This window comes from Homo sapiens, chromosome 9, assembly GCF_000001405.40.
Source record: "Homo sapiens chromosome 9, GRCh38.p14 Primary Assembly".
Lineage (NCBI taxonomy): Eukaryota > Metazoa > Chordata > Mammalia > Primates > Hominidae > Homo > Homo sapiens.
The window spans coordinates 79,388,442-79,402,012 of NC_000009.12; the positions used below are offsets into that span (position 1 = coordinate 79,388,442).

General features: G+C 39.3%; 1 pseudogene, besides 1 other annotated feature; it reads left to right on the forward strand.

Annotated features, from left to right (window-relative positions):
* On the forward strand, nucleotides 2,826-3,594 carry CHCHD2P9 (coiled-coil-helix-coiled-coil-helix domain containing 2 pseudogene 9; annotated as a pseudogene).
* Nucleotides 6,890-8,191: an enhancer, noted in NCBI's record as "VISTA enhancer hs1041". NCBI's record gives its function as "enhancer in: neural tube[7/7] | hindbrain (rhombencephalon)[7/7] | midbrain (mesencephalon)[6/7] | forebrain[7/7]" and the evidence as "EXISTENCE:transgenic organism evidence [ECO:0001131][PMID:17130149]".

Below are 13,571 nucleotides of genomic sequence, written 5' to 3' on the forward strand. Positions count from 1 at the left end.
ATGGCATACAACAGAGTCAACACCTATCACCCCTGGGTCAAAGCCTGACTGCTGCCTGTTTTTGTACAATCTATGAGCTGAGAATAGCTTTTACATTTTTGAATGGTTAAAAAATATATCAAAACAAGAATATTATTTTGTGAGCGTTATATGAAATTCAAATTTCAGGGGCAATAAAAAAGGTATTTTTGGGAACACAGCCATGTTCATTCATCTATGTACTGTCTATGGCTTTGAGCTACAACAGCAGAGTTCAGTCATTGTGGCAAAGATTGTATGGCCTGCAAAGCCAAAAATATTTACACAAAAAGTTTGCTAAACCCTGTTATACTAGTCTTTATGGAGGGATCTATAAAGGTGACCAGAATAGGACATAGATTCTGCTCTCAAAGAAAAGTATGTTGATGCAAAAGCAGTTGTGGTTTTGTCATTACTTTCAATGGCAAAAACCACAATTACTTTTGCGCCAACCTAAACAATTTAGGAGGGGGTTAGGATTTGTATAAGAATCTTAAGGACAAGGAAAACAAGGCCAATGTCATAAGGGATGTTTGAGCTGAGTGAATATTCAAAGGAGGGGAAATTATCAAGAGGTATGGAAATAGAGACCTGCTCTATCTTAAATCCTTACCCTGGTTTATATGGTAACTGAAAAACAGTTACTGCACATGGAGCTCCTTTCATCTTACTTTAATCTGCCTCCATATACACATATACACAAGAGATCATAAAAGTGCTTTTCAAGAATGACTTTATTTTCAAAATTATATTTTCTTAAGCCCCTAAAATATTCCATTTGAGCTAAAGTCATTTATATGAAACTCTGACACATTGTCCATGAATTTTAGAGCTCAAAAGAATTTAGATATTATTTAACCCAACACTTTCATTTTACAGATGAGAAAACTAAGCCCAGAAAGGTAAAGAGAATTTCTTAAGTTCAAACAACTAGTAAATGACTGAGCTGGCAGTAAAGGAGAGGAAGGGGATCTGTAATTCATAGTGTACTTGCTTCTACATACATCTTCTAATTTAATTCTCACAGCAGCCCTACAAGGTAGATCTTATGTCCATTTTACGAGACAAAAAACTGAAGCTCAGAGAAAGTAAAACAAAAATGTACCTAAGGTCTCACAGTATTTATAGAAGCCAGAAACAAAAACTCCAAATCCTGTGATTTTTATACTTTATGATCTCCTGAGGAGTTGTAATCGAGTTTTTTACCCTAGCACACATGATTCCCCTAGTTCTAAAAAGAAGGCATGTAGCTTAAATGAATGGTTTTCTCAAATCACCATGCATGTGCCTTCCCCTTGGCACAGTTCTGGCGAACTTGGATAAAAGAGCATTGGTCACTTACAGACTTGCCTTACGTTATTCTTTCCTCAAATTAAATCGTACTGTGTCTTCATTTTAAAAACATTGGTTCCCTTTTGGGGGGCATGAAGTAAAAATCCGGTAGTAATGCTTCTGTTGTGCATTAGGCAGGCATTAGCTCAGATTAATGAATCATTTATTTGCATCACTAAATATAAACATATAGGTTAACCTGGTGCTTAGCTAGGACTCAAGAGTTTTAACCATTTTTTAGTTATAAAATGTGGCTATGTAGTAATATGCTCAATAAAACAAACAAACAACAACAACAACAAAAACACTAAACTCTTACCCCTAAAAGACCCTGTGCTCTTCAAATGATATACTAAAGATTAGCTAGATGTTCACCCCATCATGTCCTCTTCTTCCTGAGCTTATGATTATACTATTAGCTTGGTGCAAAAGTGATTGTGGTTTTGCCAATTGCTTTACCAAACAACCGCAATTACTTTTGCACCAACCAAATACATTCCTCAGCGTCAGAGAAAGTAAGTACATCCACATTACATTCATCAACCTCCATTACAGTTAGGTGCAGTCATACGACTGAGTCTGTCCACTAAAATGTGGGCAGAAGGGAACCATGCACCCTCCACCTAAGGCCTGCCATAAACCCTTCAGCACAGTCATCATATTCCCTCTCTTTCCTCATCTCTTAGTCACACGCAGAGCAGCTGTTGGAGATTCTCAAGACCATCTGAGACATGACTGAACCACTAAAGGGAAAGAAACTAGATTCCTCTGACTCCAGTTAACCTACATTGGCCCAGTAAGAAAGGGAGAAGTAAGCTTATTGTGCTGTCATTGAGATTTGGGGGTGTTTTCACAGCATTTAGTCAGCCCAGAAGATTTTAAAGCGATTGCATTGGAAGGTCAGGGGCCATGGCTCAAATATTTCTAGCTGTTTGATTTTCTCATTCCCTTTGTATCCTATCTCACTTTATTTTCAACATTCATGTTCCCAGTAGAGGTGGCTCTTCATTTTTCCGAGTGAATTTCATTACTGACAGCAACCAAATGACATACGTTACCAAATTTTGTAAATAAAGATTAATCACACCGTGCAATAAGTTTACCAATCAAAAGTAATATGTGACTGTAAAGCAGTGACTCTAGTGCAAATCTGGCCCACAGCCTGGTTTTTGTAGATAAAGTAGTATTGGAATATAGCCATGCTCATTGTTTACATGCTCTCTACAGTTGCTTTCACTCAGGACAACAGCAGAGTTGAGTAGGTGCAACTTAGCCTGCAAATTTTTAAATAATTACTATCTGGGCACTTTACAGAAAAATTTTGTCAACTCTGCCTCTAAATGAACAAAACTCATTTCCTTCATTAATCGTCCTACTGACTTTGAATGCAATTCCAAGATAGAAATCCCAAAAAGTTTTAGGCGTGCCAGCATTGTGGGACCAGTTACAGAAACCCCTAAGAAAATGACTTTGAGGTCACACGTCCAGAGGCCGAGCCGTCGCGTACCTAGGATGCCGCGTGGAAGCCGAAGCCGCACCTCCCGCATGGCCCCTCCAGCCAGCCGGGCCCCTCAGATGAGAGCTGCACCCAGGCCAGCACCAGTTGCTCAGCCACCAGCAGCGGCACCCCCATCTGCAGTTGGCTCTTCTGCTGCTGCGCCCCGGCAGCCAGGTCTGATGGCCCAGATGGCAACCACTGCAGCTGGCGTGGCTGTGGGCTCTGCTGTGGGGCACACACAGGGTCACGCCGTTACCGGAGGCTTCAGTGGAGGAAGTAATGCTGAGCCTGCGAGGCCTGACATCGCTTACCAGGAGCCTCAGGGAACCCAGCCGGCACAGCAGCAGCAGCCTTGCTTCTATGGGATCAAACAGTTTCTGGAGTGTGCCCAGAACCAGGGCGACATCAAGCTCTGTGAGGATTTCAGTAAGGTGCTGAAACAGTGCCGACTTGCAAAAGGATTGGCCTAATCAAGAAGTTCAACCTGGAGAGATGGAAAGTCAGCTCTCATAACTAAGTTAATTTAGTATAAAAATAGAATTGATAGTGAGGGTATAAAGTGTAACCATCAGTTAAACCTCTCCTGTCATTCCTAGCTTCCTTGCTTCAGAATTGAAATGGGAGGGGGATGGGTGTTCCTACTCTGTACAATCTGGGACTGGGCAAATGTTTGTGTGGCCTCCTTAAACTAGCTGTTATGATTTTATTCTTTGTGAGTTGATTAGAATAAAGTCATTTTCTTCCAAAAAAACAATGACTTTGAATAAACAATTCTCATGTGAAAGAATATGTTCCATGGCATTGGTTAGAAATCAATCATATCCTAACTTTTAAACAAATTTAAAAGACAAGTTATATACTAGAAGGAACTATTTGTTGATAAAGCAGTAGTATCCAGAATAAATATAGAATTCCCACAAATAATTACTACTACTAATAAAACACCCTAAGAATACGGACAAAGGATATACACAGCAACTCACCAAAGACAAAAATCTAAATGTCCAATAAACTAATGAAAATGGTCTCTACCTCACTAATAATCAAGGAAATGCAACTTAAAGCAACAATGAAATATCATTTCGCTTCTGAAAGACTGGAACAACTTTTAAATGTGGAAACATCAAGTGGTGGCAAGAACGTGGGAAAGCAGGATATAATCTGGGTATAATTTGTATTATCACTGTGGAAAACAATTTGGTAGTTCCTAGTCAGCCTGACTCCATGCATGCATCGCCTGCAACCCAGCAATTCCACTTCCAGAAACACAATCTGCAGGAATTCCCACACATGAGCGTAAGAAGACTGTCCAAAGATGTGCATTGCAGCCCTGTTTATAACAGAAAAGAGTGGAAACAGCTTTCATCTGTAAGGAACAGGATAATAGAACTGGAGATTAATTCATTTTTATGAAAGTATACAAGAGTTAAAATGAATTGACTGCTTCTACCCGGATAAATCTCAGAAACACAATGGTGAATTAAAAAACAATTGAAAATGAAATACACAGTAGCATACCATTTGTGTAAATTTTTTTAAATACACAGAATCATATTTTTATAGATATTTCTATAGTAAAATTATAAATACAACTTAAAAGTAAAAACAAAGTAAAAGTTTTTTAAAAATACAGGCTGGGCATGGTGGCTCACCCTGTAATCCTTGCACTTTAGGAGGCCGAGGTGGGCGTATCATGAGGTCAGGAGTTCGAGACCAGCCTGGTCAATATGGTGAAATGCTGTCTCTACTAAAAAACACAAAAATTAGCCAGACGTGGTGGCTTGTGCCTGTAGTCCCAGCTACTCAGGAGGCTGAGGCAGGAGGATCACTTGAACCCGAGAGGCAGAGGTTGCAGTGAGCCGAGATCATGCCACTGCACTCCAGCCGGGGCGACAGAGCTAGATTCCATCTCAAAAAGAAAAAAAAAAAATACAAAATACAGACCACCTTCAGTTGATAGTTAGCTCTGAGAAGGGAGGGAAAGGGAAAGGATGGGTGTTGCACCTCAGCTGTCATCTTACAGTCCTTTCTTTAAAACAGAGAAAGAGTATAACTAAGTATGGCAAAATAATAACATTCATTTATTAGGTGGTTGACAAGTAGATCTCTGTTTATTAGGTTTTTTGTATATATATGTGTACATACATACAGACACTCAAAAGGAAAAAAGTAACTAGTCACTCCTCTTTAAAGCTACACTGGATTCTCTGCCCTCTGCACACAGTAGGACCCTAGACACAATGTACATGACATTCAGGAGACCCTGCATCACCTGTCCATTCAGGGATGGGCCCACCTAGAGAAGCCAATTCTTATAACATATTCTTGCCTTGGGATTTTTGGAGAAGGGAAATATCTGTGGCCCTCAAATAGATATTTACCTCCTTGCTCCTCAGGAGATTAGTGGCTCTACGAAAGTGCAACTTCCACGTATTTTGTGAGATTAACCCATGATTAGACATCTCCTCATCTTTGCTCATAACATCAGTTTCCCTCCGTTGCATCTGAGCATGGTTGTAACCTACACAGACCATACCTCAATGGCTGGAGTACATTCCTGCCTCAGTCTACACCCTTGTCAGTTTTCTGCTGCATAGTCACATCCTTATGGTGCAATTCCTGAAAGTGAGCTAAACAGTCCCCCTCACGTTGACCCCATCATCACACTCCTCCCTTCTTAACACCTGTCCTAGTCGTGATTCATTAATTACGATTGTGTTAACATACAATCAATGTCTCTCTAGACTGTAGGCTCACAGGGTACGACTTTGGGTTTTTACACAGCAATATTTCCAGAGCCAAGCTCTGTGCATAGAAAAGAACAGGTACTCACTAATTATTTGTGGAACGAATGGCTTCTGAAGTACAGAAAGAGTCCTTTCTGGAATCAAAGACTGGGGATGAACAAAGTCTATGTATGTCGGCTCAGCATAAATACTATAACAGAAAATGGATTAGAAGAACTCTGTAAATCTGATTTCTAAACCTGGTTTTGCTACTTACTCACTCCAGGGTCCTGAGAATTCTTAGATTCTTTAAAAGCGCTAAAGGAAGTTTGCAGCCTCAGAGGAGAAGCAATCCAGTTCGTCCTTAGGAGGCCCAGCTCTCTTCACTGGCTAAATGGTCCTGGGCAATTTATGACTTCTGAGTTTGCCTCCTTATCAAAAAACAGAAAATAATCATTGTACCCACAGTACGAGTTATTATAGGTATTGTTATACGAGTATAAAAACACTGCATAGTTATCCTGGACTGTACAAAGCAATCAAGAAATGTAAGAAAGAAGGAGGAGAAGAAGAGAAGAAGAAGCTATAGAAAACCATGTAAACCAGAAATTATAATACAATGTATTGTTATTCTCTGCAAAACATCATGCCATGCTCTGTGGGAAATGCAAAGAGATATAAGATGTGGTCCTTGCCCTCAAGCGGCTTGCAGTTTGAAAGAGGTAAAGCATGTACATGTGAGAACTTAATGAATGCTCCGGTAATCACACTCCTTGGTATTTGCCCAAAGGAGGTGAAAACGTATGTCCACACAAAAACCCACACGTAGAAATTTATAGTAGCTTTATTCATAGTTGCAAAAACTTGGAAGCAACCAAGATGTCCTTCAGTAGGCTAAGGGAGAAATAAACTGTGGTATATCCAGACAATGGAATATTATTGAATACTCAAGAGAAATTAGCTCTCAAACCATGCAAAGACACAGAAAATTCTTAAATGCGTGTTAGTAAGTGAAAGAAGGCAGCCTGAAAAAAAAAGGCTACATACTGTATGATTTCAACTATTATGACATTCTGGAAAAGGGAAAACTGTGGAGACAGTAAAAATATCAGTGGGATGCTGATAGCGAGGAAGGTTGTATGTGTGTTGAGGCAAGGATACACTCTGTACTTGTTGCTCAATTTTGCTGTGAACCTAAAACTGCCTTTAAGAATAGTCTCTTTAAAAACATTTTAAAACAAGCAACATAAATAATGTGAGGCAGTTCTAAGTTTCATGGGCTTGGGGTAGACCAAAGTGTCAAAGGAGGGTGGGGACCAGAACCACCAAGAGAAGGTCATTGTGAACTCAGCCCAGAAGACAGAACTGACGATTCGGTGAACAGGAACAATCTTTGACTCCTGTAAGGAATCCCGCCCATCCCAACACTGCTTAGGAGGAAGAGGCGGTTCCCTTTTTTGAGAACATATTTTCAAAGCTATTCTCCAAACTGTGTGCACTAAAAAGAGCAGTAAACACTCATCTCAGTAAAACTCCTTAAATACAAAAATATTTAGTATGCCCAGTTTGACTCCTCTCAGTTATTTTTTTTGTTAAATACTCAATGCAGAGTACAATTTACTTCTCCATTAAAAAAAAAAAATCTTTTTTCCATTCTGTTTTGGTTTTTGGGTTTTTGTTGTCATTTCTTCCTAAAGCACTGTTTCCTCACATTTGCATCTCCCAGCCTTTTTAATGTGATATTCCATTTAAACTGCCTTTTAATTGTATGTGCTGCCTTGGCAGAACATGACTGATGTACTCGCGTTAATTAGGGCTCCAGTCAGCAGCCCGTGCCAGCTGGAAACTGAGAAACAAGCGTAAATTATTCTGTCATCAATCAGCTCGAAAATGTTTGAATCACTAATTAGTTTGCAATTTGGGTGACAGTTTATCTGACGCAGGCGGTGTCAGAAACTTCAGATCTTAGATGAATAATTTGCCAGGAACAAGCACAGATTCCCTGCTTTTAAATACATGAAGGTTTATCTGCATGTTGAAAGGTGGCTCAGCAGTCTTCATTAACTTCCAACTGGGACTATGTAAATCAGGAATCAGTGTGAGCCTCTTCAGGTCATGGTGGCTTAGCAGATGATATTTAGAAAAAGAAAGCCTTTTTTCTTTTCTCTTTTTTTATTAATAATTCATAAACTGATAGACAAGGTTGTTTAGGCTTTAACTGCTTTAAGAAATCACAATGGTTTTCAAAAAAAAAGCAATCACCCCCTTTTACATGAAAATTAGTTGTGCTGCATCTTGCTGTTTAACTGATTTATTCTCCTTCACCATCACGTGACTGGAATGTTAAATGGGTAGTGATTATTAGCCCTTGTCCTTTCAAGAAGGATCGTTATTGGGGTTTTGTTAAATGGCAGACTTATGTTTCTGCTTCAAGGGAAAGGTATGTAGACTCGGGTGAGGGCAGGAAGGAAGAACAAGCAGTAAAATAGAAAAGAGAAATTTTTGTCTAAAAGCAACGTAAAAATCTATTATTTATTCAGTTAGGGGTGGTGGAACGGCCCCTTGTTATTTGAATCAAGGAGCTGGCCTAAGTAGTAACTCCCAGCATTAACCATGGACGAGAGGAGATGTTATCTGTGGGATACTTTTGGATTATGGTGCGATTTGGGTCTGCAGCTCCATTATCCCTACGTTTATAGGCCACATACCACCGTATGCACAGAGGACCAAGGATAAAGGGAGTTGTCACCCTTCAAAATCTGTTTGCAAGAGGTCAAGTTAGTCTCCCTTGTTAATTGTAACAGACCTAGTGAGCTAGGAGCTGCAAAACCAATGCTGCCCGCTTCTAGAATGGAGAAGGAGAAGAAAGAAAGACAACTAAGTTTAGAATACTCCATTCCAGCCAGGTGCGGTGGCTTATGCCTGTAATCCCAACACTTTGGGAGGCTGAGGTGGGTGGATCACAAGGTCAGGAGTTCAAGACCAGCCTGGCCAAGATGGTGAAATCCCGTCTCTACTAAAAATACAAAAATCAGCCGGCCGTGGTGACGGGTGCCTGTAATCCCAGCTACTCGGGAGGTTGAGGCAGAGAATTGCTTGAACCCAGGAGGCAGAGTTTGCAGTGAGCCAATATCTCGCAAAAGTGAGACTCTATCTTGGGAGGAAAAAAAAAAAAAGAATACGCCACTCCCTCTTCATTGCCAGCTACCAGAGTGAGTAAAGTTGTCTAGAAGAAGACAGAGGAGCTTAAGGAGTCCCACTAGTGAGAAGTTGGACTTGGAGAATATGGAGCAGTGGGCAGTGTGGACTCTACGACCTGGTTCCATGTAAGGCCTCAATATCCAGGAAAGGAAAGACAAGGTAAGGGAAACAAAACCAAAAATGTAAGGTGTATCACTTTTTTCTCTCAAATCAAGTCCCTAATTTCTTTCTTCCAAGGAGTTTCTTGAGCTCCCATAGTCCCAACGCTCTCCTGTCCATTATTCTTCCTCATAGAATTTTAGTTCACCATTTTACCTCTTGCTATGTGTTTGAATGTTTGGCCCCTCCAAAACTCATGTTGAAATTCAATTGCCATTTTAACAGTATTAAAAGGTGGGACCCTTGAGAGGTGATCAGGGCATGATGGCCCCATCCTCACTGGTGGGATTGGTGCCATTACAAAAGGGCAAGTTCGTGCCTGTCTCACCCACTTCTATTCTTCCATAGTGTGAGAAAGAGCGTTCCTCCTCTCTTGAGGATGCAGCATTTAAGGCCCCATCTTGGAAGCAGAGACCAGACCCTCATCAGACACCAAACCTGCCAGCCCCTTGACCTTAGACTTCCTGGCCCCTAGAATCATGAGAAATAAATTTCCATTGTTTATAAATTACTTAGTCTGTGGTATTCTGTTAACAGCCGCACAGCATGGACTAAGACAACCCCCTACCTCGGCCACTTTGCTAATTCAGGCCGTGCAGTCCCTCCCCTGCATTAACAAATTTCCTAACCAGGTGCCCTCCCTTTATCTTTTCTTCCCCTCCCTACTCTCCCCACAGCTCCATATCAGTTCATTTGAACCCATCCTTCAACACAGGTGGATGAATGGAGAGGAGGAAGGAAGCTGTGTTTGGTAAGGGCAATGAAAATAACAAAAGATGAAAAGTTAAGAATTCCCACAGTATGTTGAGAGGACAGTGAAAAAGTAATCAGACTAATGAGTTCTATAAAACATGGGGTGTTTTGGCTTAAGGATGCAGCATTTATCCTTGGGGTAATGAGGAATCACTGAAAATTTTCAAGTAAGGAAGTAATATAATGAAGTTAGTAAGTGAAGTGCACAATGTCTACAGTCTAAGCAATACTGTTTTGACTGTGTGCCTTAAAATTGGCTTAGTTAGAACAGAAAGGTCCTAAATGTCTTCCCCTCTGATCTGTGAAAGTTTCTTACTCAATGAAAGGAAAATTTAAGGCAGTTTTTGTAAAAAAATAAATATAAGACACTGATGAGACAAGTTATAGCCTGGTAGAAAATTTTAATAGCTACAAACCATATACCCAACAAAGTACTAGTAACAGAAATATGTAAAGAACTCTCAAAACTCAACAGTAAAAAAAAATCCAATTAGAAAATAAGCAAAAGACACAAATTTTGCTGAAGAAGATGTACAGATGACAAATATACACATAAAAAGATGTTCAGCATCATTAGCCATTAGGGAAATGCTAATTAAAGCCACGGTGAGATATCACTTCATACCCATTCGAATGCTTAATAGACAAAATAGTAGTATCACAAAATGCTGACAACAATACAAAAACTGGATTACTTATATATTGCCAATAGAAATATAAAATACTACAGCCACTCCAGAATTGAGCAAGTCAATTTCTCAAAAAAAACTAAAAATGCAACTACTGTATGAATGAGCAATTGGACTCTTGGGCCTCCCACCCAGAAAAATAAAAACTATGTTTACACAAAAACCTGTGCATAAATGTCCATAACTGCTTTATACATAATAGCTAAAAACCAGAAAGAACTCTCCTGTCCTTCAAAGGGTGAGTGGTCAAACAAACTGTTATATATCCATAGCGTGGAATATTACTGAGCAATAAAAAGAAACAAACTGTTCATACATGCAATAATTTGGATGAATCTTAAGGAAATTATACTGAGTCAAAAAAGTCAATTCTAAAAAGTTACATGCTTGCATTTTATGTAACATTCTTGAATGGGCAAAATATGTAGATGGAAAATATTGCGTGGTTTTTGGATGTTAGCGGTATAGGAAGAAAAGAAGGTACATGGCCTTAAACGGGCAAAATGAGGGATTTCTGTGATGGTGGAGCCGTTTCTGTATCTTGACTGTGGTGGAGGATACATGAATCTGCAATGTGACAAAATTACATAAAACTATGCAATTGCCCACACACACACATTCATGAACTAGTATAAGTAAAATTCGGGAAATCTGAGTAAGATTGCTAGACTGCATCAATGTCAATATCCTGGTTGTGATGTGCACTATAGTTTTACATGATGTTAGCATTGGAGAAAACTGAGTAAAGTGTATACGAGATCTCTCTGTATTATTTCTGCATGTGATTCTGCAATTACCTCAAAATAAAAAGTTTAATTAATAAAAATATGCAGTCCAGAACAAAAGCTGTCAGTGCCTCTACTTGAAAGACCTGCAGAAACAGGAGAAACTCGTGGAGAATCTTTCCCCAACATTTCCAGAGTGAGAAAGGCAATAGGCATTCTACTACACAAAGTTATGAAGAGATCCAGATTGATGGTGGCTCTCCAGGTTCAGCACATGGCTTCCAATGTCACTGTGGTATTGGAGGAGTGAGGTCACCATCTCAGAGAGCTGAAAAGGGAAAGGGTATGAAGGAGCATACAAGGGAGATTTTACAAGCCAAGTTTAAAAGTGGTGCACACCACTTGCTAAAATGAACAAACAAACGAGTTCATTACAGTCTGGCAGGAGACTCTAGAATCATTTCAAACCTTCCTTTCCTCAGTGCTTCTGTGAAGAATCAAAATAGCCTCTTTTCATGAAAATATTGAAAATCATATTTCTAGAATCTCTGGAAAATGAAAGGAAAGATGATAGTGCTATTTAGTACTGTCAACAAAAGCAATGTATCTCTAAATTGAGACTTTTTTAGATCATTTGTTTCACTGTCAAGCTATTCATTAAAAATTCTCAATTGGCCATAAAAATGATAAGTATGTGAGGTGATACATGTGTTAATTAGCTTCGTTTAGCCATTCCACAATGTATACATATTTCAAAACATCATTTTACATGATAAACATGTACAATTTTTATTTGTCAATTTAAAAACTTAAAAAAATCATTGAAAAACAATCTAAGATTACTGTATAAACCTAGTAGCACCTAAATTGCCTTATAAACATTATCATATTGACATAAATTAAGCATTTGAGAAAGTATGACATGAGACAAGTTAAGTTTTCCATAGGGAGGCAAGAGGGAAGACAGGCTCAAACCTTGTTTTTAGTAGATCACTCCTGGGTAGGACATGACAGAAAAATGGCTTGGGCAGCTCAGATATATCATATGAGTGTTGGACTCCATGCAGAATCTATAAGGAAATTAGAACTCACCTACTTCTCAACCAATTATCTGACTTATCCAAACATTCATTTTACTAATGTACACAAATATGCAAGTACTGCACTAGGTACTAGCAATTCAGTAGTGGGCCAGAGAGACACAGCCTATGCTCCATGGAGTACATAACCTCTTGGAGAATCCAGATATATGCAGCAAGACATTTCAAATAGAACGTGTCACGTGCCCTGAAAGTGGAAGTAGAGTTTACTATGAGAGCATATAGCAGGAGTCCAGCCTTAATCAGTGAAGACTTCCTTGTGGGAGATTAAGCTAACACATTGTGAGTAATTAGGAGTTAACTAGGAGAAGACAATGGAAAAGAAGTAGAGCCGTGTGCATTGGATCAATGATGTTTTCTTGTGATGAGGGCAATTGTAACAAAGATTGCAGAAGTTTGGGTGAGCATCACAAGCTCCAACCAATATATATATACATATATATACATATGTGTGTATATATATATATATATATAGAAGCTTAGTAAGAAGAATGAGACTCTAGATGCCTTACAAGTGCATATGCTGACTCTGTAATGATGCTCAGGAATGAAGTCTGTTTGCAGCAGAAAATAAGTCAATAGAAGAAAACGTGCTCTTTCTCTGGCCTTTAACCTCCTTCCTTCTATCCACTCCTGCAATGCAGAAGACTAAATTCCTGGCTGTGTATCTATTTCTCTTGGTGTATATATTTCCCAACATCAGTTCTGATTTTTTAATTCATCCAGTATCCTGTTCCAGCTTTCTCCTGGGAAGCAAATAAAAGCCTGATTTGCCATTTTTATCTACTAGGCTATGGATTCAGCTATTTAATCTTGTTTCTTTACCATCCCTAGAGTATTGTCCTCAACTGTATGATTCAAGATAGCTCAGCACCTTGTCCAGAGTCTAGCTGGAGAATAATGGAGAGAGGAAAGGGAATATGCCCTTTTCTTCATACACATTTGCACACTTCCCACTCACAGGCCTTCCATTGGCCAGAGCTTAGTCATATCCCCGCACCAAGACCTAAGAAAGACTGAGAAATCTATCCTTTGGTTGCGGTGGCCAAGTGCCTAGCTAAAAATTGAGAATTCCATCCTATAACCTACACTGATAGAAACACTTAAATTCTTCCTGCAGCTTCCATATTGTTTGGCCAACAAACAACAAGATGAGGGGGGAAATGGATATTGGGACAAATAGCAATCTCTGCCACATCATTCTTTGAAAATGATTGATCCCTTGTTTAAGAATTTAAGGCAACTTCAATGCAAGCTAGTTCAGTAGTAAAGCCACATTGATGCTGAAATACAAAGAAAGAAAAATCATATGTTACAAAAGCTGTGATCATTTATTTGATGGGAACACATCAGGTCACATTGTTTAGCTC